Raw genomic sequence first — 27,455 nt, forward strand, 5'->3', positions numbered from 1 at the left:
AAGCCACCTGGGGTCTGTGCACCCCAGAGAGGCACTCACTATGTCCTGCACAGGTCCCCTTGGCACACCTCACACTTTGTCAGCCTAACCCCGAAACTTTTCTAATGAAAGGCTCCTGCTCCTAGCACCGTGTAGCAGAAAAAGCACTAGGTAAAGAGTCGGAAGATCTGCTTGGCTTTGAGCAGGTGTCAATCCATTTATCTGAACTATGGTTTCCCAATCTGATGAGAGCAAGGACCACATTTTGTTCCTGTTTGTCTCTCGGTAGCTAGAATTGTGCTAAGCACATCCACAGTAAGCACTTGTTGTTTGTTGAATAAAAAATAAGGAAATTATTATTACATTTTCCTGCCTGTCTCACAGCGTTGTTCATTGTGGAGCCTAACTTAGAAATGTAAAGTATTTTGAAAGTAGTAATGCAATAAACAAAAGTTAGGTATTATTATCACTAATTTTTTTTTTTTTTTTTGAGATGGAGTCTTGCCCTGTCCTCCAGGCTGGAGTGCAGTGGCCCAATCTCGGCTCACTGCAAGCTCCGCCTCCTGGGTTCATGCCATTCTCCTGCCTCAGCCTCCCAAGTAGCTGGGACTACAGGCGCCCACCACCATGCCTGACTAATTTTTTTTTCTTTCTATTTTTAGTAGAGACAGGGTTTCACCGTGTTAGCCAGGATGGTCTCCATCTTCTGACCTCGTGATCCGCCTGCCTCGGCCTCCCAAAGTGCTGGGATTACCGGCGTGAGCCAGCATCACCCCCCAGCAAAAGTTAGTATTATTAACCAAGATGCAGAGCTCTCTGAACTGTGTTACTTGGAATGAGCAAGTTACAGGTGGGACCTGGCCTGCCAGAAGCCAAATCCCTTATGCACATGTAGAGAGAAAATGCTGCTCAAGGGGCTAAGCAGAACTGGAACCCAGAGGCTGTTTCTGTGTAGGCAAAGAGAATTTTTTTTTTTTGAGCTGAGCAGCTGTTCAATCTGCATTTGAATCTGCTCTACTCCCTGTAAATGGTGAGGGACAGGAAGATGAGAATCTAAGAAGCTGTGTTCCAAGGGAGGCTGAGATTGGGAGGATGCAGGTGCATGTGATATCATAAAAAATATATCTGGTCTTTGTCCCCAGTTCCTGGACAGACCTTCGAAAATACTTGGAATTTCCCAACAGGAGTGTCTTTTGTTATTTACAACAAGACCCTTCTGACTACGTTTGAACTTACGTTAATGTGACTGGTGGTGGGCCCTTAGAGAGTTGAAAGGGAGGGGCTGGTCATGCTATTAATAGAAAGACCAAGCATGTGATTGGAGGGTTGGAAGCTCCAGCCTTTCCCCCAACCTCGGTGGAGGAGACAGCAATCAGAAATTAAGTTTAATTACATGGCCAATAATTTAATCAATCATGACAACACAGTGAAAGCCATATAAAAACTCTGGACACTGCAGTGCAACAGAGCTTCCTGGCTGGTGAATGTATCAATGTACCAGGAGGATGGTGCACCCCAGCTCCATGAACACCAAAGCTCCTAGGCTGGGGACCCTTCCAGACCTTGCCCTGTGTATCTCTTCATCTGGCTATTCATTTGTGCCCTTTATAATAAAACAGTAATCCAAAGTATAGTGCTTTCCTGAGTTCTGTGTCATTCTAACAAGTTATCAAACTTGAGGGGTTGTATACTGGGAAGATGCAAATTTGTAGTCAAATCTGAGAGAAGCGTGGGTATCCTGGGGACCACATTTGTGACTGGCATCTGAGGTAAAGGCGGTCTTGCTGGAGACTTTGCCCTTTAACTTGTGGGATCTGACACTAACTCAGAGTAGTCAATGTTAGAATTGAATTGTGAGACTTCCAGTTGGTGTCAGAGAGCTAGTGTTGGATCTTGGTGTAATATCCAATTCCTTGGACTTCTCCATTTGAAAGTCAACGGCAGAGGAAACAGCCACTGTCTCTGACTGACCAGACTATAACCATAATAGGTTCATCGCCCAGGGCACAAGGCAAGTCAATACACCAAGACACTGGGTTACAGCAAAGAAAGAGGCTTAATCATAGGGTCACTGAAAGAGGAAATGAGAGGGAGCCTTAAATCCATTTCCTCAAGGATTTTGAAGTTAGGGTTTTTAAGAGTTTTGGAGTGGGCTGAAGTGTGCTCACTGTTTAGTCGAAGAGGGCAGAGCAAAATCTTGGGACAGGGAAATGAAGAAACTGTATTCTCATGCTGGTCCCATTCCTCTGTTGGGGTCTTTAAACGGGTTGCTGGAATTCAGGATCTGAAAAACATCTTAAGCAATCCTTAAACAAAAGCCTTAGGAGTCTAATGTCAGAGGTCTTGTCTATATGAACAACGGGGATGCAAATGGGTTAATCTAGTGCTGCATGACTTAGCAAGAAGGAAGTGGATCGGAGTGAAGCCTGAATGATGATTTATTATAACTCTGTTTCTGTCTAGAACCTGGCATGCAGTTTTCAGCAACCCTGTGGGGACAGTTTCAAGACAAGAAGGAATATGGTAGTGTGGACTGAGCACAGGGATTTAGGCCATGTGGGTCCTAGCTCTGCTTCTGCCAGTAGCTCCGAGCAATGCCTTACCCTCCCTAGGGTCCTCATCTACAAAATGAGAGAACTTAGTTACACATCAGAGTCATCTGAGAAGCTTTAAAAATGCAGTCTCTTCCAGCTCCATTCTTCAGAATTAGAGTCTTGGGACTAGGTCCCAGGGATCAGCATTTCAGAGTTTTGAAATCTCCCCAAGTGACTCTAATGCAATTAATGGGTAGTTGATTGACTCAGGGTTTCCTCATGGCCCCTGATGATAAGAACAGCCTGGGCCACACTGTAAATCTACTAAATCAGACTCTCCCTGCTAAATCAGGAGGGACCTGGGAATTGGTGTTTTTAACAAATGTTCCAGGTGATTCTTAACAACTGATATAGTTTGAATAAGTACCCCCTCCAAATCTCAGGTTGAAATGTGACTCCAATGGTGGAGCTGAGCCTAGTGGGAGGTGTTTGGATACCTCATGAATGGCTTGGTGCCCTCCCCTTGGTAATGAGTGAGTTGTTGCTCTATTACTTTACACAAGAGCTGGCTGTTTAAAAGGACCTGGCACCTCCTCCCTTCTAACTCTTGCTTCATCTCTCACCAGGTGACACCCCTGCTCCCCATTCACCCTCCGCTATCAGTAAAAGCTTCCTCAGACCTCACCAGAAGCTGGACAGATAGATGCTGGTGCCAAGCTTGTACAGACTGCAGAACCATGGGCCAAATAAACCTCTTTTCTTTATAAATTGCTCAGCCTCAGGGGTCCCTTTATAGCAATGCGAGAATAGACTAACACAGCAACCCAGAAGTTTGTGGAGTGAAATCTAAAGCAGTGCTTTTAAAAGTGAGATCCTAGGACCAGCACCACCTGTACCACATGCATCACCTGGGAACCTGTTAGAAAAGCAAAGCCTCAGGCTCCATCCCAGACCACCTCAGGCAGAAGCTCTGGGGGTGGGGTCCAGGAATCTGAGATTTAACAAGCTCTCCAGGTGATGCTGATGCATGTTCAGTTTGAAAACAATGGACCCAGAGAGCCTCTAAAGTGCAACCTGCCCTGACAATTTTAGTCCAAAATCTTGCATGGGTAATTTAATCTCTACATCCTGTGGATTCAGTAAAGTCCCTTTCTGGCAACCAGAAAGCTCAGTCTCTCTGGAGGCTCTGATGTGGTCTCATTTTGAGCCTAAGATCAATCGTGAGACCTTACTCTCCATCAAGACTGATTGGGAGACTCATGTATGCTGTTCTCAAGCCAAAAGTCAGGGTAGAACTGCTTTCCATTATTGATTACAAAAGAATCAGCCTTCCAGAAGATAAATCTACTCCCTTCATGGAACCTCCTCATTGCAGCAGCTGCTTGGGCACTATTTTCTCCTGTAGGCAGGTAAAAATATGTGCAGGCTTTTCTGGCTTGGATCGTACAGTCTCTTTAAAGCTTATAGACTCTGATTATTATTATTATTATTATTATTATTATTTTGAGACGGAGTCTTTCTCTGTCGCCCAGGCTGGAGTGAAGTGGTGCAATCTCGGCTTACTGCAAGCTCCGCCTCCCGGGTTCACGCCATTCCCCTGCCTCAGCCTCCTGAGTAGCTGGGACTACAGGTGCCCGCCACCACGCCCGGCTAATTTTTTTTGTATTTTTAGTAGAGACGGGGTTTCACCATGTTAGCCAGGATGATCTCTGTCTCCTGACCTCCTGATCCGTCTGCCTCGGCCTCCCAAAGTGTTGGGACCACAGGCGTGACAGACTCTGATTATTAAAAGAAAATTGGGAGATCATCTAGTCGAATCCTATTTTACCAATTAAGACACAGTGGGGATGGGAGTTAGTTAATAATTTTTCCATAGTAACAGACATAGTAACACAGTACGTTTGTAGGGAAGCTGAACTCAGACCTTCAGGCTTATTTCACTGAGCCACGCTACTTCAGGTGTTCTCAGCAAAGCATGGGAAGTAACAAGTGTTCGAAACCCTAAGACACTGCAACCTTAGTGTAGCTTTGGGTGCCATCCATCCACATTCAGAGAATTCAGGGTCTACAGAAACAGTGTGGATTTGGATTCCTGTTGGCACAAGGAGGCAACTAAGAGGAACAGGGGAGAACATGGTTTTTCCAGGAAGAGTTAATGCTACATAAATAGCAGATCTTGCTGTAAAGGTCCTGTCACATGCCAGGTGCTTTTTTCCTTCAAAATAACCCTGTAAGGTGGGCATAATTATCCCATTTTTACCAATGAGGAAATGATGCACAAAGAGGCTGTGTGCACTGATCGAGCCCAGTGAACAAAGACAGGATTAAAACATCGGGCTCTGATTCTCATGCTCTTCCTGGGACACCATACTGCTTCCTGATGAGTTGGTTTTAAACCCACGATTGATCTATTTCAGTCTCTAAATCAGTGACTCTTAACCTTGACTGCAGGTTAAAATTGTGCAGATCTTTAAAAAAAAACACTAATAGCTACTGCCCTCCCTTCCATCCCTATTAAAAAAGAAAGAAGCTCTGGGAGTGAAACCAGGATATTGGTATTTTTTTTAAAAGCTCCCCCAGGTAAAGTGAATGTGCAAACAGAAATGCAAGCCACTTTTACATGATCAATTTGCCTCAAAGTAATTTAGCTAACCAGGGATAGATACTGTTTTTGAAGATAGTGGTGGTAATTTAATTAAGTTACTCAAACTATGATTGAATTATATTTAGACACTAGGTAAGAGGGGAAATGGGGAGGACAAGGAAGAGTTGACTTTTGTTAACTGGTTTGTTGGGGAACATGCATGCGAGATTTGCTGATTATCTGCAATGCAGCTCATCTGAGGACCAAGCCCCCTGCCTCCACCCGACCCCCAGGATTCCCTGGAGCACAGTGTTATTTTGGTGTTTGAGAACTTATGCATGTTTAAAAGTAATTAAAGAAAATTAAAAGTTAATTGTTCTGAACATTATTTTACTGAGAGAAGAATTCTCTTTAAAAACCTAACAAGTTTTCTATTTAAAGGATTTTGAATCGTGTTCCTAGGCTAAAGACAGAAGAAAGGACCTCATGGTAAAATTTTGGGTCTTGTCCAAAGGGCTTTTGAAGTAATAGCATATTCATTAATGTCACAAATAGATCTTTAACAGAGGTCTTTCTTTAAGGAAATCGGTACCTCCCCCACTTTAATTAAAGCTTCCTGGTATGAGACATGCTTTTAGGAATTCTAGTCTTTTTGGCTTGATTCTCTCACTCTCTCTCTTTTTTTTTTTTTTTTTTTGGTTGCGATGGGGTCTCATTCTGAGGCCCAGACTGGAATGCAGTGGCAAAGTATAGCTCACTGCAGCCTCAACCTCCCAGGATGAAGTGATCCTCCCATCTCAGCCTCCCAAGTAGCAGGGACTACAAGTGTGCCCCAACGGCCTGCTAATTTAAAAAAAAAAATGTCCAGACAAGGTCTCACCATATTGCCCAATCTAGTCTGGAACTTCTGGCCTCAATGCTCCTTCCACCTTGGCCTCCTAAAGTGCAGGGATTACAAGCATGAGCCACCAAGCCCAGATTTTGGCTTGATTCCCGAAATGCTTATTTCTACAGAACCTGGGAGGAACCAAGCCTCTACTTATGAGCTTTGAAGAGCCCCAAAGAGCCGTGAGGAGCCTCAAGCAGTGAGGAGCCCCATAGAGCCCCCCCTCCTACACATCAAAGGCCCCCTTACCTCCTTCTTCACACAACAACACATTGATAAGATGGCAAAACCCAACCACTAACTGCATCCCCACAAAACTGCCATCTGCTCTTAAACTATTTCGAACTGAACCAAAAAAAAGGTTATAGATACACATATTTGTATTTTTTTCTGCCTGAAATTTTTTGTGCCTTATTTACTTCAATGGCATTTACTTAGTCTTACTTGATTTCAGTAATAGAATTTTTATGTTTTTTTCAATAAAGACCTATGCCAATTTTGGGGGGCTTCCTTTACGTTTCCAGATCAAAAGAGAAGGTTCAAAAGTCTACAGTTCAGAGACAAGCATTCTAAAAAATTATCTTTGAGAAGGACTCAATTTATTATACTAGAATTCTCGGCCTGGAGGAAACTAGCTTTGGGGTAACCTATTAACTGTTGACAATTGTCTTCCCTGGAGGATTCAAAGATTACTCTTTGGAAGATGGTAACCACCTATTTTGCACACTGGCTGAAGAAAAGAACAAAGGAATTGTAGTTACATTGCCACAGAAGGAATTTAGGGAGATCTGTAGAAGGAGGAGCTTCCCTGTTGAAACAGGTGGAACAGCAAGAAACTTTCCTCTTCTTTGAAGCTTTATGGAGAAAGACAACACACCCTCTCATATTAATATTAGTTATTCTTGAGGGTAGGAGAATTAGTGGAGACCTTTTCACTTTACAATGATAGAAACACAACTAGCTCTATTTTATTTTATTTTTTGAGACAGGGTCTAGTTCTGTCACCAAGGCTGGAGTGCAATGGCAGAATCTTGGCTCACTGCAGCCTCGACCTCCCTGGGCTTAGGTGATCTTCCCACCTCAAGCTCCTGAGTAGCTGAGATTACAAGCATGCCACCATGCCCAGATATCTATATATATCTATATATATCTATATATCTATATCTATCTATCTATATATATCTATATATCTATATATCTATATATCTATATATCTATATCTATATATATCTATCTATATCTATATCTATATATATCTATATCTATATATATCTATATCTATATATATCTATCTATATATATCTATATCTATATCTATCTATATCTATATATCTACATATATCTATATGCACACACACACATACATAGGTATATATATGTACGTGTGTGTGTGTGTGTGTATATATATATATATATATATATATATATATAAACTTTTTGTAGAGACAGGATTTCATCAATATTGGCCAGGCTACATTTTTTTTTTAGAGAGGGGGTCTTGCTATGTTGCCCAGGCTGGTCTTGAACTCCTGAGCTCAAGTAATCCTCCTGCCTCAGCCTCCCAAAGTGCTGGGATTACGAGTGTGAGCCACTGCACCTGGCCACTTAATTTTAAATGGGGAAATAGTTGGCTCACATGAATGAATGTCCCAGGGTCAGGCTACAGGCATCACTGGTTTCAGGGGGTCTAATAACAGCCAAGGGCACTCTTCTCATTCCATCTCTCACTCTGTTTGGCTTTATTATCTGAAAGACTTTCTCTTTGTGAGGCAAGATGGCTGGGGCAGCTTCCAGCCTTCTCGACTCTTAAAGCTCCTTTCCCAAGATCTACATTAATGCAGGATTCTGACTGGCCTCAGGTCTGTCCCTAGAGCATGCACAGTTCCAGAGCAATCCTGTCAGTCAGACTGGGTTGTGAACCTGCCCTCATGGCAGAGGAAGTAAGAACTCTTGACTGACAGGACCCACAAATCATATGAAGTGTGGGAGAGTTCCAAAGGAAAAGAGGCAGAGCAGGCAGAAAAAGAGCATGTCTACTGCAGAGGATACATCAGGACAGAATTCCTCCTGTTCTTCTGCAATCACATGCTGACAATTGTGAACAAAAGTTGTAGCAGACTGCACTGATGCCCCAAACCCCAAAGATGACAACTAAATATATACATATATGTTTGGTTGAACCTTAAATTTGGAGTATCATCTCTTTCAGTATTTTTGTTTTCTGGTTTTGTAAGGTTTTTTGGGGGGGCGTGGCAGGGTGGGGTGCCAAAATCATAAGTTCCCACTGAACTAGTTAAAAATGAGGTCAGGCACAGTGGCTAACATCTGTAATCCCAGCACTTTGGGAGGCCAAGCAGGTGGATCACCCGAGGTCAGCAGTTCAAGACCAGCGTGGCCAACATGGTGAAACCCTGTCTCTACTAAAAACACAAAAGATTACAGGCATCCGTAATCCCAACTACTTGGGAGGTCGAGGCAGGAGAATCACTTGAACCCAAGAGACGGAGGTTGCAGTGAGCCGAGATCACGCCATTGCACTCCAGCCTGAGTAACAGAGTGAGACTCTATCTCAAAAAAAAAAAAAAAAAAAAGGAAAAGTGTGTGTTTTTTCCCTATCTTTGAGCCACTGTTAACTAATCTGAGCCTGATTTGGTGTGAGTCCATGGAGCATGACTTTCCATGAGGAATTTCCTGCTGGCCTAGTATCTCTGTCCACCTATCACCATGTTGCAGGGGCCAGATGACTGCCCACCAAAGAGACCTTGGCTCTCTTTCTTCCAGTCCAGACCTCAAACTTCCCTGGCTCCAGAGAGGAGGAAGTCCAAGACTCCCATCCTCTGAAGTACCAAGCTGATTGACAGTGACCTTGCTCCCAAGCCCAAGGAATACAGTAACAATTGTTAACAGTGCTTTTGCCAAAGTCTGGCTCATTTGACTTAACTAAAACCATGTGTATCCTTCAGGGTTCTGAGAGGACACAGAATTCATCACAGGTGAATGAAGACTCTCTTCATTCCTCAAATGGAGAGATTTTATGAAGAACTATTTACAGATGTGTGAGCAGGATTATGGAAACACATCAGAGATTAAAGATATGCAGAGATTAGCAACGTTGGAAGTTATTAGCACCCCAAAATTCGAAAGACAAGGAACAAATAGAGTTACCAGAGCTGGGTGAGAGCTGGAAGGCAAAGGCGAGGCCACCTGGCAGATGCTGAAGTCATGAAAAGAGGTTTCCATTTGTCCTCTCCCTCCAACCTCTGATGCCCTGCCACTGTCTCCTGGGATCAAATCGACCTGGCAGTCAGCCAGCAAGAGGTTGTAGAGTTGCAGGCTACAGGGATCAGTGTCCCATGGCATAGAACAGAGTGGAGATGGGCAGAGAATGGATTGGGGAAGGGAGTGGGGCAGAGAGAGAATAACCTGCACATCAGTGGAACCTCTGGCACACCCATGAAATTGCAACATCCGAACTTAGTCTTAGGTACTTCTAGAATCTTTCCTCCATGATCAGCAAAGGGAAGACTAAATCTGCATCTCTCTCCTGGCCCATGTGCACACATGTGTATGAGTACATGTGAGCAGGGCACACTGGTTAAAGATTCTGAAATCAGACTGATCTTGGATCTTAGCCCTGTGACTCACTAGTTCTATGATCTTGGATAAGTTACTTAATTTCACTAAGCTTTATTTTGCTCATCTATAAAATGAGGATAATAATAATACTCAGCTTAAATGGGTTTTATGCCAATTAAATGAAATAGTCCCTGTAAAGTGCTCAACACAGTGCATGACACGGAGTAAAGACACCGAGCAGCCCTCAGTAGAGGCTGATCCTTTCTGAGTCCCTCTTCCACAGAGGATCACCCATCTTCCCAAAGCCAACAATTTTTAGGACCAATCTACTCTAAATTCAAATTAGAGGCAAGACAGACGATCATTTTTCAAGTCTGCAAAGACTCAGTCCTGCTAAGAATGCACTGAACCCATATCTTACATGAAACATCTGCATTGCAGCCAATAGGGTGACATCAGGGCCCCCTCAAACAGGGGGCAGTGATTGCTTCACATCTATCTGACCAAGGGCCCGTTGGTGATTTTCCCCAAATGAAGAAAGTGGTCCATAAATAATAGAAAATTACTAGCAATGTGAAAATCATACTTTTCCATCACCCATGATAAGAGAAATACAAATCAATAGCCCTGGCACGGTGGCTCACGCCTGTAATCCCAGCACTTTGGGAGACCGAAGTGGGCAGATCACCTGAGGTCAGCAGTTTGAGACCAGGCTGGCCAACGTGGTGAAACCCCATCTCTACTAAAAATACAAAAAAAATTAGCCAGGCATAGCTGTGCGCGCCTGTAATCCCAGCTACCTGGGAGGCTGAGGCAGGAGAATCACTTGAACGCAGGAGATGGAGGTTGCAGTGAGCCGAGATCGGGCCGTAGCACTCCAGCCTAGGTGACAGAGCAAGTAGACTCCATCTAAAAAAAAAAAAAAAAAGAAAAAGAGAAAAATACAAATCAAAACTACAGTAAGATACAACCTACTCCTTACCATTAAGATGATTACTCTTAAAAAACAAACCAAACAAAACAAAAAAAAACAGAAAATGAGTGTTGGCAAGGATGTGGAGGAATTGGAACCTTTGTGCACTGTTGGTGGGAATGTAAAATGGTTATAGCCACTGTGGAAAATAGTATGGAGGTTCTTTAAAAAATTAAAAATAGAATCACCATATGATGCAGCAATTCTACTTAGGACTATGCACTCCGAAAGAATTGAAAAGAGGGTCTCAAAGAGATAGTTGTATACGTATGTTTATGGCAGCATTATTTACAATAACTAAGATATGGAAGCAACCCAAGTGTCTATTGACAGAGGAATGAATAAGCAAAATGTGGTCTATACATGCAATGGAATATTATTCAGCCTTAAAAGGGAAAGAAATTCCAACATGTTCTACAACATGGATGAACTATGAGGACATTATGCTAAGTGCAATAAGCCAGACACAAAAGGATAAAATATTGTATGATTCTACCTAAATGAGGTGATTAGAGTAATCAAAATCATACAGACAGGCAGTGTAACGGTTGTTGTCAGAATGAAGGGAGGGGGAATGAGGAGTTACTATTTAATGGGTGTTGAGTTTCTGTTTTACCAGGTAAAGAGTTATGTAGATGAATGGAGGTGATGGTTGAACAACATTATGAGTGTATTTAATACTATTAAACTATATACTTAAAAATGGTTAAGATGAATTAGTTGGGCACGAGGCGGGTGCCTGTAATCCCACCTACTCGAGGGGCTCAGGCAGGGGAATTGCTTGAACCTGGGAGGCAGAGGTTGCAGTGAGCCGAGATCGTGCCACTGCACTCCAGCCTGGCAAAAGAGCAAGCCTCTGTCTCAAATAAAATAAAATAAAAAATAAAAAAATAAAATGGTTAAGATGGCAAATTTTGTTGTGTGTATTTTACCACAAAAAATTTAATAATATTTAAATATGGTCTCACTCTATTGCCTAGGTTGGAGTGCAGTGCTGCAGTCACAACTCACCGCAGCCTTGACCTGCTGGGCTCAACTGATCCTCCCACCTCAGCCGCCTAAGTATTATTGATAGGTTGAATAAAAGATACCAGTTTTACACAGACATACTTGCTATTTTTAACACAGTTGCAGATTTAGGCCCTACAAACAGAGGAATTCTGATCAGTTCTATTTCATGTAATTCCCATGAGGTACCACCACACCTGGTGAATTTTTTCTTTGTAGAGACAGGGTCTTGCTCTGTCACCCATTCTGGTCTGGTCTTGAACTCCTGGGCTCAAGTAATCCTCCCGCCTCAGCCTCCCATAGTGCTGGAACTACAGGTGTGAACCACTATGCCTAGCCCATAATTTTTTTAAAAAAGGTACTTTTCCAACTTCAAAAAACAAAACAGAACAAAATGTCAGTGTGTTCAGGCTGCCGTATCAGGCTAGCTGACTTAAACAACAGAAATTTATTTTCTCACAGTTCTGAGGACTAGAAGTTCCAGATCAAGGTCTGGCTGGGTCACGTTCTGGTGAGGGCTCTCTTCCTGGCTTGCAGAAGGCCACCTTCTTGTTGTGTGCTCACAGGGCTTTGTCCTGGTGTGTGCATGTTGAGAAAGCAAACTCTCTCCTCCTCCTCCTCTTAAAAGGCTACCAATTCTGCCACATTAAGACCCCATCTTTTTTACTTCACTTACCCTTAATTACCTCCTAAAAGGCCTATCTCCAAACAGTCATATTGGGGTTTGAGCTTCAACATATGAATTTGGGGGGACACAATTCAGTCCATAGCACAAAACAAACCTGTAATTTTACAAGTCACTTAATTACCAAAGTTCTTCGGACCTCCTCAAAATACCCCTGTCATCAAAACAGTCTCATGAAAAGCCGTCAAGTCTACTTATGAGGCAACAGCATAACTTTTAAGCACATATCCAACAGAAATGTATCCATGTACTCACCAAAAGACACATGAAAGAAGGTTCGTAGCCCTAAACAGAAAGCACCCCGAAAACCCATTTCAGGCAGAATGGATAAACGAACTCCAAGATACCCACGCAACAGGAGATAGCACAGAGGTGAGAGGAGCAGCAGGATGGATAAACCTTACAAACAAAATAGAAGCAGCGGCACGGTAAAGTACATATTGTATTATTCTATTAGGTCAAGATCACTATTAGGCAAAATTACGGTCTAAGAGTCAGAAAAGTGGTTACCCTTGGGAGAGGGAAGTGATGACTTTCTAGCAAAGTCCTACTGTTCTACTTCTTTTCTTTTTTCTTTTCCTTTTATTTATTTATTTATTTATTTATTTATTTATTTATTTATTGAGACAGCCTCGCTGTTGCCCAGGCTGGAGTGCAGTGGCACGATCCCTGCTCACTGCAACCTCTGACTCCCAGGTTCAAGTGATTCTCCTGCATCAGCCTCCCGAGTAGCTGGGATTACAGGTGCGTGCCACCAAGCCCAGCTAATATTTTTTTGTATTTTTAGTAGAAATGGGTTTCGCCATGTTGGCCAGGCTGGTCTTGAACACCTGACCTCAGGTGATTTGCCCGCCTCAGCCTCCCTAAGTGTTGGGATTACAGGCGTGAGCCACCAGGTCCAGCCCTAATGTTTCTTTTCTTGGTATGGGCGCTGGTTACACAGGTGAGCTCACGTTGCCAAAATTCATCCAGACTCATGGTTTATGCACTTTTCTCTATGTATATGAGACATCAATAAAACTTGCTTTAACGGAGGCTTGAATCCCTCAAGGTCTGGCATCTGATTCTAGGCATATCCAGCTTTCCTGGTCCTCCACATGTGTCCACTATCGGCTGCCTCTCACGTGCTTTTTGTAGAACTTGGGCAAGAGGTCACGGTGGGAAAAAAAATGCAAGAGAACAGCTGCAAAATCCCACAGGAGAAGGAAAAGCACCGAGCGAGCTGGGAAACAGAATGAAGCCAGAGTGGATGGCTGGGCTGGCGGGAGCACAGCACAAGGGAATTTTGGCAAAATGAGGGCAAAATTAAACAATATAGTGAAAGAATGGGGTTTAGGGGGATTATTTGCAAAACCAGATAAAAAGGACAGAGTGGAAAAGGCAAAACGTTATTTTGGCCCCATCAGTGCAGTATCGTATCTGCACATAACGTAAATTTGAGAGGGAAAAACCAGGTTTCCGGAGAGCGAATGCAAATCAGTGGAGGCTGGCTCGGTGCTCATTTGCATTTGAATGCTTGGAACATTCCCTGCGAGACGAGATGTGCAGAACATTCCGCCGCCGCCTCACCCAGCAGACAATGCTGATGTTTGTGCTGTCACCAGTGGGCTTGTTCGTAATAATATCAACCTCTTTTAAAATTAAGGGAAGGCAAATGAATATTTATTCTCTGTAGTCAGGCTGTGTGGCACTTCGTGGCTGAACCGACAGAATTGTGTTCACCAGACCCCAAAAACTTTTACAGCCCCATCTATAGATATGATCAATACACACAGGGCCAGAGAAGTATGTTATACTCTTCACAAAAAAGAAAAGCAGGCAGGCTAGGCGCGGTGGCTCACGCCTGTAATCCCAGCACTTTGGGAGTTCAAGGTGAGTGGATCACCTGAGGTCAGGAGTTCGAGACCAGCCTGACCAACATGGAGAAACCTCCTCTCTACTAAAAATACAAAAATTAGCTGGGCGTGGTGGCAGGCACCTGTAGTCCCAGCTACTCAGGAGGCTGAGGCATGAGAATCGCTTGAACCTGGGAGGCAGAGGTTACAGTGAGCCGAGATCGTGCCACTGCACTAGAGTCTGGGCAACAGACCAAGAAACCATCTCAAAAAACAAGCAAACAAAAAGGCCGGGCGCGGTGGCTCACGCCTGTAATCCCAGCACTTAGGGAGGCCGAGGCGGACGGATCACGAGGTTAGAAGATCGAGACCATCCTGGCTAACACGGTGAAACCCGGTCTCTACTAAAAAATACAAAAAATTAGCCGAGCGTGGTGTCCTGAGCCTCTAGTCCCAGCTACTCGGGAGGCTGAGGCAGGAGAATGGCGTGAACCCGGGATGCGGAGCTTGCAGTGAGCCGACATCACGCCACTGCACTCCAGCCTGGGCACAGAGCGAGACTCCATGTCAAAAAAAAAAAAAAAAAAATGCAGAGGTGGACCGTGTTGGGGTCTGAGGTTTTACCTCTGAAAGCTACCTGCAAAAAGGGACTACCTAGAAAAGTATCACCCTGGAATTTTAGCATAACCTTTTCAAAACCAACTACTAACCACCAAGCACTGTTTTATGAAATTTGCAGGCATCATGTGTCATTCTCACAGCTGTTAGGACTTCAATGATGTTATAAGGAAGTTGGGGCTCAGAGAAGCTACAGAACTTACCCAAGGACACACAGCCATCACGTGAGTGACTGAAGTGTTCGGCTCCATTTGACTCCTATGTTATGTTCTTTGCGTTCTGCCCTATGGTCTCCGAGAATGACTGAAATTTTAAAGAGATCGGTAAGATGAGAATGAGTGTAAAGACAGCAGAATCTGGGGGAAAAGATTTTTCTCTTAAGGCAAGAAAGCAGATACAGGAGCAAGGTTTAGAATATTCTACTCCAAGTTCTCTCAGCTCTTGCTGCCTGGTAAGGAGGCTGAGAAGACCTAGAGAGAAATTTGTGTTTTTTCCTGAATACCCTTTCTAGTTACAACTACCAGAGAGGGAGAGGCAGGCTTAAAGGAGCCCTCTAGGAGCCCCACACCAGGCACCCCAACAGCATGTGCTGTAGCAATTCCTTGGGATCAAACGAGAGGGCTTTTGAGCTAGGCTGGTAGGGGAGAAACCCTGGACGAACATGCAGGTGACCAGCAGGCAGAGTCTGTGTCGTGTGTCACCCACCTGAGATATCCACAAATCATGGAAGCAGTGGATTTCAGTGACAAATATCAGCTTCTGGAAAAGGTAAAAAATTTGAGGGACACTTTGGAATGTTCTAGATAATTAGAGAGAATGAGAGGTTTGTAGACAAGAGAAGTAATCCAATAGAAAAGTCAAAAAGAAATGAGCTCAAGCAGGCAGAGATGTAATTTGGTGCTCAAAATTTGACAAGTAGGGTTAGGTGCCTGCAGCAGAAGGAAGACGGGAAACCACTAGACACCATGGAGAAATAGAAATAGAGGCAGAGAGACTGTCAAAGTGAAGTTTGAAAGTCATTCCCAAAGGCCCCTTTCCAGGGCTTATAAAAAAAAGGTGCTAACAATGTATCCAGATGATCATAGGAAGAACAAAATTGGAGGGGGGATGTTTTAATTGGAGGGGAGGTCAATGGCTTTTCATTACAACTTCCCTTCTCTCCTGCTTCCCCATCTAGCAGGTGGCTCTGCAATGGTCGTGGGCTGGATAAGGGGAATTTGAGTTGGGGATACATTTAGTCTGGGTTTAAGGGGATACACACACACACACACACACACACACACACATATGTAGTTTTTTTGTTTGGTTTTACTTTTTAATTGAGACAGAGTCTCACTCTGTTGCCCAGGCTGGAGTGCAGTGTCTTAATCTCGGCTCACTGAAACCTCTGCCTCCCGGGTTCAAGTGATCCTTTCACCTCAGCCTCCCGTGTAGCTGGTATTACAGGCACCCACCACCACACCAAGCTTATTTTAGTATTTTTAGTAGAGATGGGGGTTGCACCGTGTTGGCCAGGTTGGTCTCGAACTCCTGACCTCAAGTGATCTGCCCACCTTTGCTTCCCAAAGTGCTGGGATTACAGGTGTGAGCCACCACACCCAGCCTGTATATGATTTTAATCACTTCCATGTGTAGTCATTTCAGTGGAGGAATAATTCCAGAAATATACCTAACACTGACTGTGCTGACTTACTTAGCATCATAACTTAAGATACAAGGCCAGAAGTTGCATCAGAATATAAATGAATTCACCACAACTGGCAGGAAAGTATCTGGATAGTGGAGAAGAAATAAGCTTTGAGATGTTTGGAGCCAAGCTAGTCTAGGAAAGTTCTAATCATCACATGAGTAAAATTGAAGTAGAGAATGACTTGGTTCGCATCAATGCCTAGTCAAAATTGAAGCTCTCTCTTGTCAGGGAGATACTCGATAATGCAACATATACAACTATAAACTCACCTTAAATATACATTTTTTTCTTTTTTGATGGAAATTACATGAAATCGAATTGATCAGAATTCCTCTTTTTGTAGGGCCTAAATCTGAAACTGTATTAAAAATAGCAAGTATGGCTGTGTAAAGTTGGTATCTTTTATTCAACCTAGCAATAGTAAGAAACAAATTTTGATGATCTATGGTAAAGATAAAATTATCTTCCTATTCTCTCTATAGAAAATGGTATTACAAAATTGCTGTCATACAAAGACGCGACCAAAGAGTAGGCAGTCAGAAAATTAGGAAAAATGTATTATAAAGGCATGTCAGGAAATTAAAAAATAAAATAGTGTCATTTTATGGCTTCAGTGATGTTTACAGTGTTAGCTTTTTAAAATTCATGACTGTGGTTTATTTTCACATTCTAAGTACATATTCATTTTGCATCTAATTTTAAATTTATATTTTTCTATTCTTCTTTTTTTTTTTTTTTTTTGAGATGGAGTCTCGCTCTGTCACCCAGGCTGGAGTGCAGTGGCGCAATCTCAGCTCACTGCAAGCTCTGCCTCCTGGGTTCACGCCATTCTCTTACCTCAGCCTCCCGAGTAGCTGGGACCACAGGCGCCCGCCACCACGCCCGGCTAATTTTTTTGTATTTTTAGTAGAGATGGGGTTTCACCATGTTAGCCAGGATGGTCTCGATCTCCCGACCTTGTGATCCGCCTGCCTCAGCCTCCCAAAGTGCTGGGATTACAGGCGTGAGCCACCGCGCCCAGCCCCTCTTTTTCTTAAAGAAGGCCTGAAAAATTGAATAAGCTTCAAGTGTACATCACCCGGCCCCACCTCTGACTAAGGAGGATGAACCAGAGGGGAAGATCCTCCAAGCCAGCTTGCAATGAGGGATCTTCTATCAACCCAGGCTGGTGGCTGACACCCTTGGATGGATGACTGATCAGTGGGTGTGCTCAGGCGTAAGGTGTGGCAACAGACAGTTGAAGCTATGACAACATCTGATAAGGTCTCCTCCGGCCTGTAATTTTTGGAAAGTGGGTGAAGTTTTTTTGTTGGGAGCAGCAGGACTGCCCCAGAATCCTTGAAACCAAACCATGCCTGGCTTCCCAATAAAGGAAGTGGCACTTAAGAAAACTCAAGGAAGCAGAAGACGTGTCAGTAAAACCTATCTCCTAAAATTCCGGACAAAGTGTGATTCCAATCCTATGATGTGCTGGGCTCTTCGATGGCCCGAAGGAACTTTTGTTCTCAAAACTTTGAGATTTGTTTCTTCCAAATTTAATCACAGGCAGGCACACAGTGACCTCCATAATAGGGTACTCCAACCCATTACACCTTGGCTTTCCTGAGAGTTAGTGCTTGGAAGCGAATTCAAATTAATTATCTGGCTACATGATGGCAGGATTAACCTTTAAAGTGGTTGCAATGACCATGATTTACATAATCTATTTAACCATTTTTCAATAGAATTAATATTTAGAAGGCAAGTGGGGAGAAATAAATTACATCTTACGGCTTTTTGTGAACACCAGGCTTAGCGCACAGAAGAATAAAATTAACATTACCTAAGGTAAAGAACGTATCAGGTGCACAGAGCAGTAAATTAGATTACAGGGATAACAACCATTCCAGAGGCTTCTCGTAATCTGAATTCATCTGGAAAGTAAATAAACAATGCCACACACAAGGAACAGGTCTCATCCATCACTCTCCTCATGGCATGCAAACAGTGATATCTGGATTGGCTAGGATCACATGCGATTTTGACAGGTGTGGGTAATGCACATTGAGACCATTTGTTTAAGGATCTGCCAGGACTATATGTAGAAGGAACAGGCTGAAAACAAGATTGTTTAGCTTGTTTAAACTTAATTTGAATCTGGGTGCATTTCTTATCTGATCATTTTCTCCATTTAGGTTCTATTATGGGGAGGACATGTGGGTTTTCTTCTGCTTCCTAAAGAGACAAAGCCCTAGCAACTGATCAACTGGAGTGGACAGTTCTCTTGTCCCAGGGGAATCTGGTGCCTGAGAGCTGTCATTTGAGGATTCCAGGAGAGTTCTTGTGGATTTCAAGTGAACTTTCTGAACCTAAAAATTTGGGAAATGTAGACTTCCCCAAGAGAATATGACTTAAGGAGCAGGAATGAAAAAAACAGGAGCTGTGCCATTGTCAAAAGTAATTTACATAAAAATTTAATTTTCAATTACATGAGAGTATTCACTGTGAATTTTGCAAACATGAGAAGGAAAAGGAGAGCTTCACAAAGATACAGGAGCCCCACCTCTCATGCTGAGAGGCAGAATGAGGTATACAATGGAAAGATCAGGGACCTTAGAGTCCAGAAAACTGGGTTCCAGCCCTGATGGCCACTAACTAATTGGGTGGCTCTGAGCAAACTCACACACCTCTTTGGGACTCTAAGGATCCTCTTCTGAAACATAAAAACCATATGGTACCTAGCTCATAGCCTAGTGGCTTAGTGTAGGTTTGCATTTCAGCCCTGGTAGCTATATGACTCTGAACAAGCCATTTAGCCATCTTAGCCTTGGTTTCCTCATCTATGAAATGGAAAGTTTGGTAGGACCTACCTCATAGGACTATTAGGATGGTTACTTGAAATGAGTATGGAAAGCATTTAACACAGTGCCTGACACATAGTAAGGGTTTCATAAAAGTTGGCTTTTATGAGATATAATATAGCTATCTATCTAGCTTTATCATTCAATAATTCTAGTTTTATGACATGTAGGAAATCTCACAGCTGAGGAATATTACAAATGATGAATGCGTAAGCTCTGCCAATTTGTGAAAACATATATACACCATAATATTAGGTAGAAGAATGAGGTTGGAAATAGCCGTATGCTGTGTAGACATGCTGAGTAAAAATAAGGAATAAGCAATGGAAGGAAGTCATCATAAAAACCATTGAAACGTTCTATTATCTTTTTTTCTAAAGTTTGGGAGCTCTCTATAGATCTAGTAAGAAACTGAGACTCTGTGAAAAGTGGTTTTGCTTCTCCTCTTTTTCTATGAAATTGTCCCACATAAGTAGAGATTGCCATTTAGGGCTACGGTTAGGGCTGGAGGGTCCTTGCAAAACCATCCTGCCCAAATGATGGATCTTGCTGTTTTGTGGCTCATCTGGAGCTGCTCACAAAAAGCCTTTTAAAAGAGAAAGATGGTCCATCTTCTTCCAGTGAAGCTTGTAGAACACTTTTCCTCAGAAAATGTTCCTATTAGCTTTTCTCCAACTCAGCCCCAAGCATTTTAAGAAAAAAAAAAGGTCATAAAGGTAGCCTACTCCATAAATTAAATGGAAACACTCTTTGTCAAACTTTGACTTTTCCCCGTTATTTCTCACGTCTTAGTGGGGAGAGAGAATGTGTGTAACACCACTGCCATTTAAATTGCATTGGGGAATGGGACATCATACGTGAAATCAGTAATAGGCACAGCTACCTTTTGAATGATACTTTAAATGCGGGTTCCCCAGTTTCTGGCTCCTAAGCCAGTGATCTTTCTACCCCACCAGAAGGCCTCTGGGTTACTGTAATAATTATCAGAGTATTATAATAATTATAAGAGCTCAATTATAGAGTGTTTTTCATATGCCTGGCTCTGTGCTATACACGCTATACATGCTTGTATCATCCAATTCTCACAACAGCTCTCCAAGCTAAGCAATAATATTGTTCCTATTTTACAGATGAGGACATGGAGGCTCAGAAAATTTAAGCAAGGTTAATTTAACCTCGTTCAAGGTTACAGTGTTGGTCCTCAGAGATAAAACTAGCATTGCCTTCTGCTTAAGATGGAGTTCTTCTGTCTGTTGATTGAGCTGTAATCCTCAACAGTCTTTCCCAAATCACTATAGTAGTGCCTCTCTTTTAAGAGTAAGGCTTCCTATTGCTCACGGCTTAGGAAAGGAAGAGTTTCCCCAGGCAGGGGCCTCCATTCACTAACAGTATGAGTGCCTGTTTTATGCCCAGCATTGAGCTGAAACAAAAAAAGCCTTTGTATTTCCAGCCTTGCCGTTGTCTAAAAAGAATGCACTTGAGGAAAGTTAATAGACAGGTAAGGCTTTAAAAAAGTGAAAGCCGGCCGGGCACGGTGGCTCACGCCTGTAATCCCAGCATTTTGGGAGGCCAAGGCAGACGGATCACGAGATCAAGACCATCCTGGCCAACATGGTGAAACCCCATCTCTACTAAAAACACAGAAATTAGCTGGGCGTGATGACCTGTGCCTGTAATCCCAGCTACTCGGGAGGTTGAGGCAGGAGAATCACTTGAACCTGGGAGGAAGAGGTTGCAGTGAGCCGAGATCGGGCCACTGCACTCCAGCCTGGTGACAGAGAGAGACTCGGTCTCAAAAAAAAAAATAAATAAATAAGCAAATAAATAAATAAAATAAAAGCCTGGCCCAGTGTGGTGGCTCATGCCTTTAATCTCAGTACTTTGGTAGCCTGAGGCAGAAGGATCACTTGAGCCCAGCAGTTTGAGAACAGCCCGGGCAACATAGCGAAACCCAGTCTCTAAAAAATTTTTAAAAAGTAGCCGGACATGGTGGTGTGCACCTGTAGCCCCACCTACCCAGGAGGCTGAGGTAGAAGGATCTGCTTAAGCCTGAGGAGGTAGAGACTTCAGTGATCCTGTCACTGTACTCCAGCCTGGGCAACAGAGTGAGACCCTGTCTGAAAAAAAAAAAAAATTTAAGCCCATCCTTAGGTAAGAGCCTCCTTAAAAAGTAGGCTAGAGGGCAAAAAATTCTAAACAGAGAGAGAGTGAGAGTGTGTGTCTGTGTGTATGTGTGTGTGTGTGTATGCGTGTGTGTGGTTCGTGTCTGCATGCGGGAAGTTGAAATGTTGCCCGTTGATTCCACACAATGCCATCAGAAAAGATGAGCAACATCGAAGCAGAAGAGACTATAGCTATTTATTCCCCAAAAAAGAGCACTTGAAGAGATTCATTGGCATGACATTAGCAATCTTCTAAAACATTTATACATGAATTCTTGAAGACAAGAAAAGGACAGATCAATCAGGTACACAGCATTGGAAACCATCACATTATTCATTTCGGGAGTAAGTCATCATCTGTGAATACAGAGCCCCTCACTTCCTCTCCGCTTGGCTTCCTCATCTTCCACCTACAAGTATGAAAATGCCGCTGGGACCCAGCCAAATCAAGCTGCTACGTGTGTGCCCCTTAGAGCCAATGTGCGGAAATGAAACTGACAAAGCCCACCAAAACTCAACATATTCGTTGTTTAAAGAGATAGCTCCATCTCTTCCTGTATACAGATGACACACCCCTCACAGAAGGACCAGGAGTTGGTTTTTTTTTTCCTCTTTTCAATGGTTGATTCTCCTGTTGTTGTTCACAGAACAGAACATAATTAACAAATTGGAGGAGACGTCCTTTTGTTCCTCTATGTCAGTAATAGATGTTTCTTTCAGATCAGGGAGCCAGAACGGGGAAATGAATGCTCCAATTAAGCATGAGGGAGGAATAAATTTAGTCTCATGCAACCTTCAAATGAGCTACCCAGCGCCCCAGCTTTGAGTCTTTGCCAGATTCTTCAGGAATATTCCTGACCCTAAGATTAGCTCTGTTGGTGCAAGGAAAGAGTTTCTTGTCTGTATAAAAAATGACTTGTGCACATAAATCTGGGATGCACGGGTTCTCAGGCTAACCATCTTGTACCCCACGGCACAGGAGGAGGCAACAGAGTTTGGCCATATAATCCTGAATTCTGAAGACATGCAGACCTCAATTCAAGACTTCCATTTTTTGTGGACTTCAAGATTTACTGTGATTCAGGGAGAGAGAATAGAAGTATCAAGTTGATAATTACTGACTTATGTGATAAAATATAGATCTTTGGGGACTGTTGTTAAGGTTTGAGGGAAGATTCTCACAACAGTTATTTAAAGGCTTTTTTTTTTTTTTTTTTTTTTGAGACGGAGTCTCACTCACTCTTTCACCCAGGCTAGAGTGCAGTGGCACGATCTTGGCTTACTGCAACCTCCACCTCCCAGGTTCAAGTGATTCTCCTGCCTCAGCCTCCCAAGTAGCTGGGATTACAGGCGCCCACCACCATGCCTAATTTTTTTTTCTTTTTAGTAGAGACGGGGTTTCACCATCTTGGCCAGGCTGGTCTCGAACTCCTGACCTCATGATCCACTCGCCTCAGTCTCCCAAAGTGCTGGGATTACAGGTGTGAGCCACCGCGCCCAGCCAAAGGCTTTCTTAATTATTTGAGACGTGACATAGGAAATTCACCAAGTTCGTCTGAAATTTTGTTTCTTCTTTTGTTAAATGGAAATATCTTTTGCTTATTACATAAGAACAATCTACTGGAACAGGAGTTACTTGTATGTAAGCATAGTGTCCCATAAGAGTTTATCACAAACCTTTGAGTAGTGCCTGGCACAGAGAAAATCCTAAAAAATACCGTTTTTGAGAGAATAAGTAAATGAGGGTATAATTACTTCAGTGAATTGATAGTCATAAAATATGAAAATTACATGAATTCCTCTTTACTCATTGTAAACACACTCTTTTCCAGATGTAATAAACGATCAGGCATTTCTTTTGGCACTGTTCAAAGTTTATAAAGTATCTCAACCTTTGATTTGGGGCTTTTAAAATTACCTGGTTTTTAAATGCTGTTTTATCTTTGGCAAGCCAATGCTATTACAACCGTGGCTTTTCCTCTGAAGACTGACTCATCAAATAGTCTTCACCTGAGCTCTAATCTAATAGCCTTACTGGTCCCCAGGGAACTGGAGATATTTTCATTTGGCTTTGTGGCAGCTCAGTGGGAGACTTATGAAGTCATTCCCCCTTTGTGGTAACACCTTCAGCCCTGCCCTGAGCTGCACTTCTAGAGATCAATTACCCTCCAAATACTAATGGGAAATGGTGCTTTTAATAGAAAACATTAATGAAATTCGAGTTCCCAGTCTCAGCTGTAATTTTGCCAGACGTTAGGCAAGCAGGGGGTCTTTGGGGCTAGTTGGGTTCCACCAAGCAGACTGAGTCTTCATGTTTGGTGCATGCCAGTCTGACTCACGTTCCTTGTCACAACCCTAGGGGAGCTGTCAGTCACCAACTGATACTGACAATGGCTCTGTGGGTAAAAAAAAATCAAGGCATGTTGTATCCGACATGCTCAGGAGAGACAGATATGAACACATCATAGTCACCAAGTAGTCCAAGGCAGCCCATCATAAGGTGGGGCCACTGGGACAGGTTCAAGTTGCGGGGACTTAGAGAGGGCCAGAGTGTTCAGGGAAGGTTTTATGGAGTAAGTGGGACTTGAATTTGGAGTTGAGGAGAGAGGGTCAGGTGCACTGGCTCACACCTGTAATCCCAGCGCTTTGGGAGACCGAGGCAGGAGGATCAGGATCACTTCAGGCCAGGAGTTTGAGACCAGCCTGGGCAACAGAGCAAGATCCCATCTCCACAAAAAATAAAAAAATAAAAATTAGCTGAGTGTGGTGACATGTGCCTGTAGTCCCAGCTACTTAGGAGACTGAGAAGGGAGGCTCACTTGAGCCCAGGAGTTTGAGGCTGCAGTGTGCCGTGATCATGCCATTGCACTCCAGCCTAGGTGACAGAGTAGGGCCCTGTCTCTAACTAAAAATCAAGGAGTTAAGGAAGGATTCACCCAGCTGTGCATTCTGAGTGGTGACAATGATGCAGAATGAGTGAATGAGGTGTGTACGGAGACCAGCGCTTTGGGGGAGAGCCCCAGACAAGACCTAGAAGAGGTGGCCTCTGGCAGGGCTTCATACTGACCTCAACAAGGTCAACAGGCTGCCATGCCCCGGATTTTTCCTGCTGGACAACTCCTACTCCTTGATACATACAGTCATCAGCAGGATCAAATTAAGAGTGAATGCGAAAGTTATGTGAAAATTCTAATTGTGTTATTATTATTATTTAGGAAAAACATGGCCAGCAAAGCAGGTGAGGCAAAGATCAGGAAGGACATTAAACGCCAAACTAAGGAGCGGAACTGAATGAGCAGTGAAGGGGAACAATGGCTTCAGCAGGTCCACTGGGCTCCTCTTTTCTGTCAGCCTCCCCCTACCCCTCACCTCTGTACTACTCATGTTACTATCTACGTCTCTTCACCAATGTCATTGTGGAAATAAAAGCTTATCTGTAAGAGTACTGATGAAGTATTAACTCACCCCCTTTAAGTTCCACCCTCCATAAAGCTAAAAGTCAGCAAACCAATTTAAGTGATCTATTTTAGAATTTCAGCAAACTTTGAAAATCTGAGGCAGTGCTGCCTAGCAACGAGAGTGAGGATGTAGAGGTGGTCTCAGCTGAGATTCGAGATGTGCTGTGGATTCACTGCTTCCCTTGATTTTCCTGATCTGAGCCTTGGTTTCCTCATCTGGGCAATGGGGCTTCCATATTCTCTAAGGACATCGAATCCCCTATGGGGTGGCTTCTGTATCTGAGGACAGAGGAGAACAGGAGTCCCAGGGAGGGTGCTAAGTGCCCCGGAAGGGCAGATGAAGCCTACGGAGGTCACAGTGACAACCACATATCCTGTCTAGAGCCAAGTGGATACTTGGTCTCTTCATCCAAGAGACACAGGGGATATGTTGATGAACGACGCAGGCTTCTGCCATCATAGATCTCACAATATGGGCAAAGTCAGACACATAAACAGACCATTGCTATGAAGCATGCCAGGTGTTGGGATAGGTCATGCTGGGAATTACAGGAGACAGGCAGGGGACATCTATGCCAGACTGGTGTTTCCCCATATTTTAATCTCATGCTCACTGGAATGCTTTCTTTATTTCCTGAATGTCTTTACCAATCAAGTGGATTGAACACCTTTGATCTTCTGTTTTTAGGAACATTACCTACATGAGTATATTAAATATGCCTAACCCTCCTGGCCTGGAGTCACACTCAAGCGGGATCTGCTCCACCCTCTCTGGTGAATTCTAGATCACCTAAGGCTCTTTCCCTGTGCTGTCACCCATGACTCTCTGTCATGGTCTGTGCTCGCTGTTTCTGTGTGGGTGTTTATTGAGCTCACTTCCAGAACACCTTCTTTTTCTCGCTCTGTACACCTGCTCACTTGTCTGTGTTCCACCTTTCACCAGGTGTCCAAATGTCGTTGGGCAAATCACCTATATTCTAGGGCACATACCAACATTAAGATCCACCCATGACAGAAAAACAAATTATCAACTACCTGCTTGAATCTAGTTAGGAGAGTTCATGCCCAAAGCCAGTGAGAATCTCTTGAGTAGTGAATTAGTGGTGTTTAGAGCATCCATTGACCAGTCAGTCAATCAATGATTATTTACGGAATTCCCAAAATGCATCAGTCACCATGTTGTATGCTGTTGAACACATAAAGACCCAAAGGCTTGGACCCTGTCCTCAATGAGTGAACAGTCTGAAAGGAGAGAGACTAGTCATTGTAGACTTGTGCAGTCATAAGATATGAGAGTTGAAAGTCTCTTTAAAGGTCATCTATCCTAATTTCTATCCCAATCAAGTTTCTCAAATGTGTTATTTTTTGAGAAACAGCAGTAAATCCTGATAACAATTTCATAACAGCTAATAGCTACATTATAAGTCACTCACAGTAGGCCGGGCGCAGTGGCTCACGCCTGTAATCCCAGCACTGTGGCGGGCCGAGGCGGGCGGATCACGAGGTCAGGAGACCGAGACCATCCTGGCTAACACGGTGAAGCACCATCTCTACTAAAAATACAAAAAATTAGCCAGGCGTGGTGTCAGGCGCCTGTAGTCCCAGCTACTCAGGAGGCTGAGGCAGGAGAATGGTGCGAACCCGGGAGGCGGAGCTTGCAGTGAGCCAAGATCGCGCCACTGCACTCCAGCCTGGGCAACAAAGCTAGACTCCGTCTCAAAAAAAGAAAGAAAGAAAGAAAGAAAGTCACTCACAGTAAATATAAGAAAGTTCAGAGAGGAAGTTAGTAAGGATTAAACGTCAGAGAAACAGTTATGAAGAGACCCGGGCTGCATCTTGGGGATTGACGGGGTAGAAAGTGTCTAGGAAGGAAAGGACAGTATGAGAAATTAATGAGGCAAGAATGAATGAGTCACGTGCAAGGACGCTGACTGAAGCAGAAGATGTTTGCTGGGAACAAAAGAAAATAACTATTGTCACCTACCTCACAAGGACTTCTGCCTTCTGTTATGTTGTCAGAATTCTGATTTCTGTTCTTCTGTTCACTGGTCCCCTTGTCGAGTCATATATATTTCAGTTGGTCTAAAAATAACAGTTATCCCACCTTTCTTACCAGTGATTGGTTTAGCATGGCCATGTGACCGAATCCTGACCAATGAGATGTGAGGAAAAATCTGCTAGGGTCTTTGAGAAATATTTCTTCATTATTTAAGGGAAACGCACAAGAAAGGAGCCATGTTTGTTTTCTCTGAAACTAGGATTTAAGGATGTGATGTCCAGAGCTGCTGCAGCCATCTTGTGAGCCTGAGGGGAGCTAGCCAACAAGCAAAGGATGGTAGAAGAGAAAGATAGAAAGAGCCTTGTCATTGATGCTGAGTCATTAGCTAGAAAAACATTGGATTTTCTTTACCTCTAAGCTTCTTGTTATGTGAAGGAAAAAAATCTCATCATCTTTATTTAAATTATTTTAGTTTGTTTTCTATGGACTTTACTGAAAGCACCCTAAATGACACTTAGGAGCTTCACAACCAGTCACAGAAGCTTGATGACATAGAAAAGGGTAGGGATGATTGGAGAGAATGGGAATGAATAGAAAAGGAAAACAAGTGGAGGAGAGAGGTCAGAGT

General features: G+C 43.3%; 1 long non-coding RNA gene across 4 annotated transcripts in view; it reads left to right on the forward strand.

The window, feature by feature from the left end:
- LOC105379231 (uncharacterized) overlaps nt 1-27,455 on the forward strand; it is a 62,356-nt gene that overhangs the window by 25,779 nt on the left and 9,122 nt on the right. The window contains exons 2-3 of one of the 4 annotated variants that reach the window (XR_948940.3): nt 14,800-14,902; nt 24,586-24,812. This is a non-coding gene — a long non-coding RNA (uncharacterized LOC105379231). Of the gene's footprint in view, nt 1-3,139; nt 3,282-14,799; nt 14,903-24,585; nt 24,813-27,455 lie in introns of those variants that run through there. The other 3 variants (XR_002956685.1, XR_948941.3, XR_007060812.1) reach the window with 3 other exon arrangements.

The sequence above is a fragment of the Homo sapiens genome, chromosome 8 (genome assembly GCF_000001405.40).
Source record: "Homo sapiens chromosome 8, GRCh38.p14 Primary Assembly".
Taxonomy (NCBI): Eukaryota; Metazoa; Chordata; class Mammalia; order Primates; family Hominidae; genus Homo; species Homo sapiens.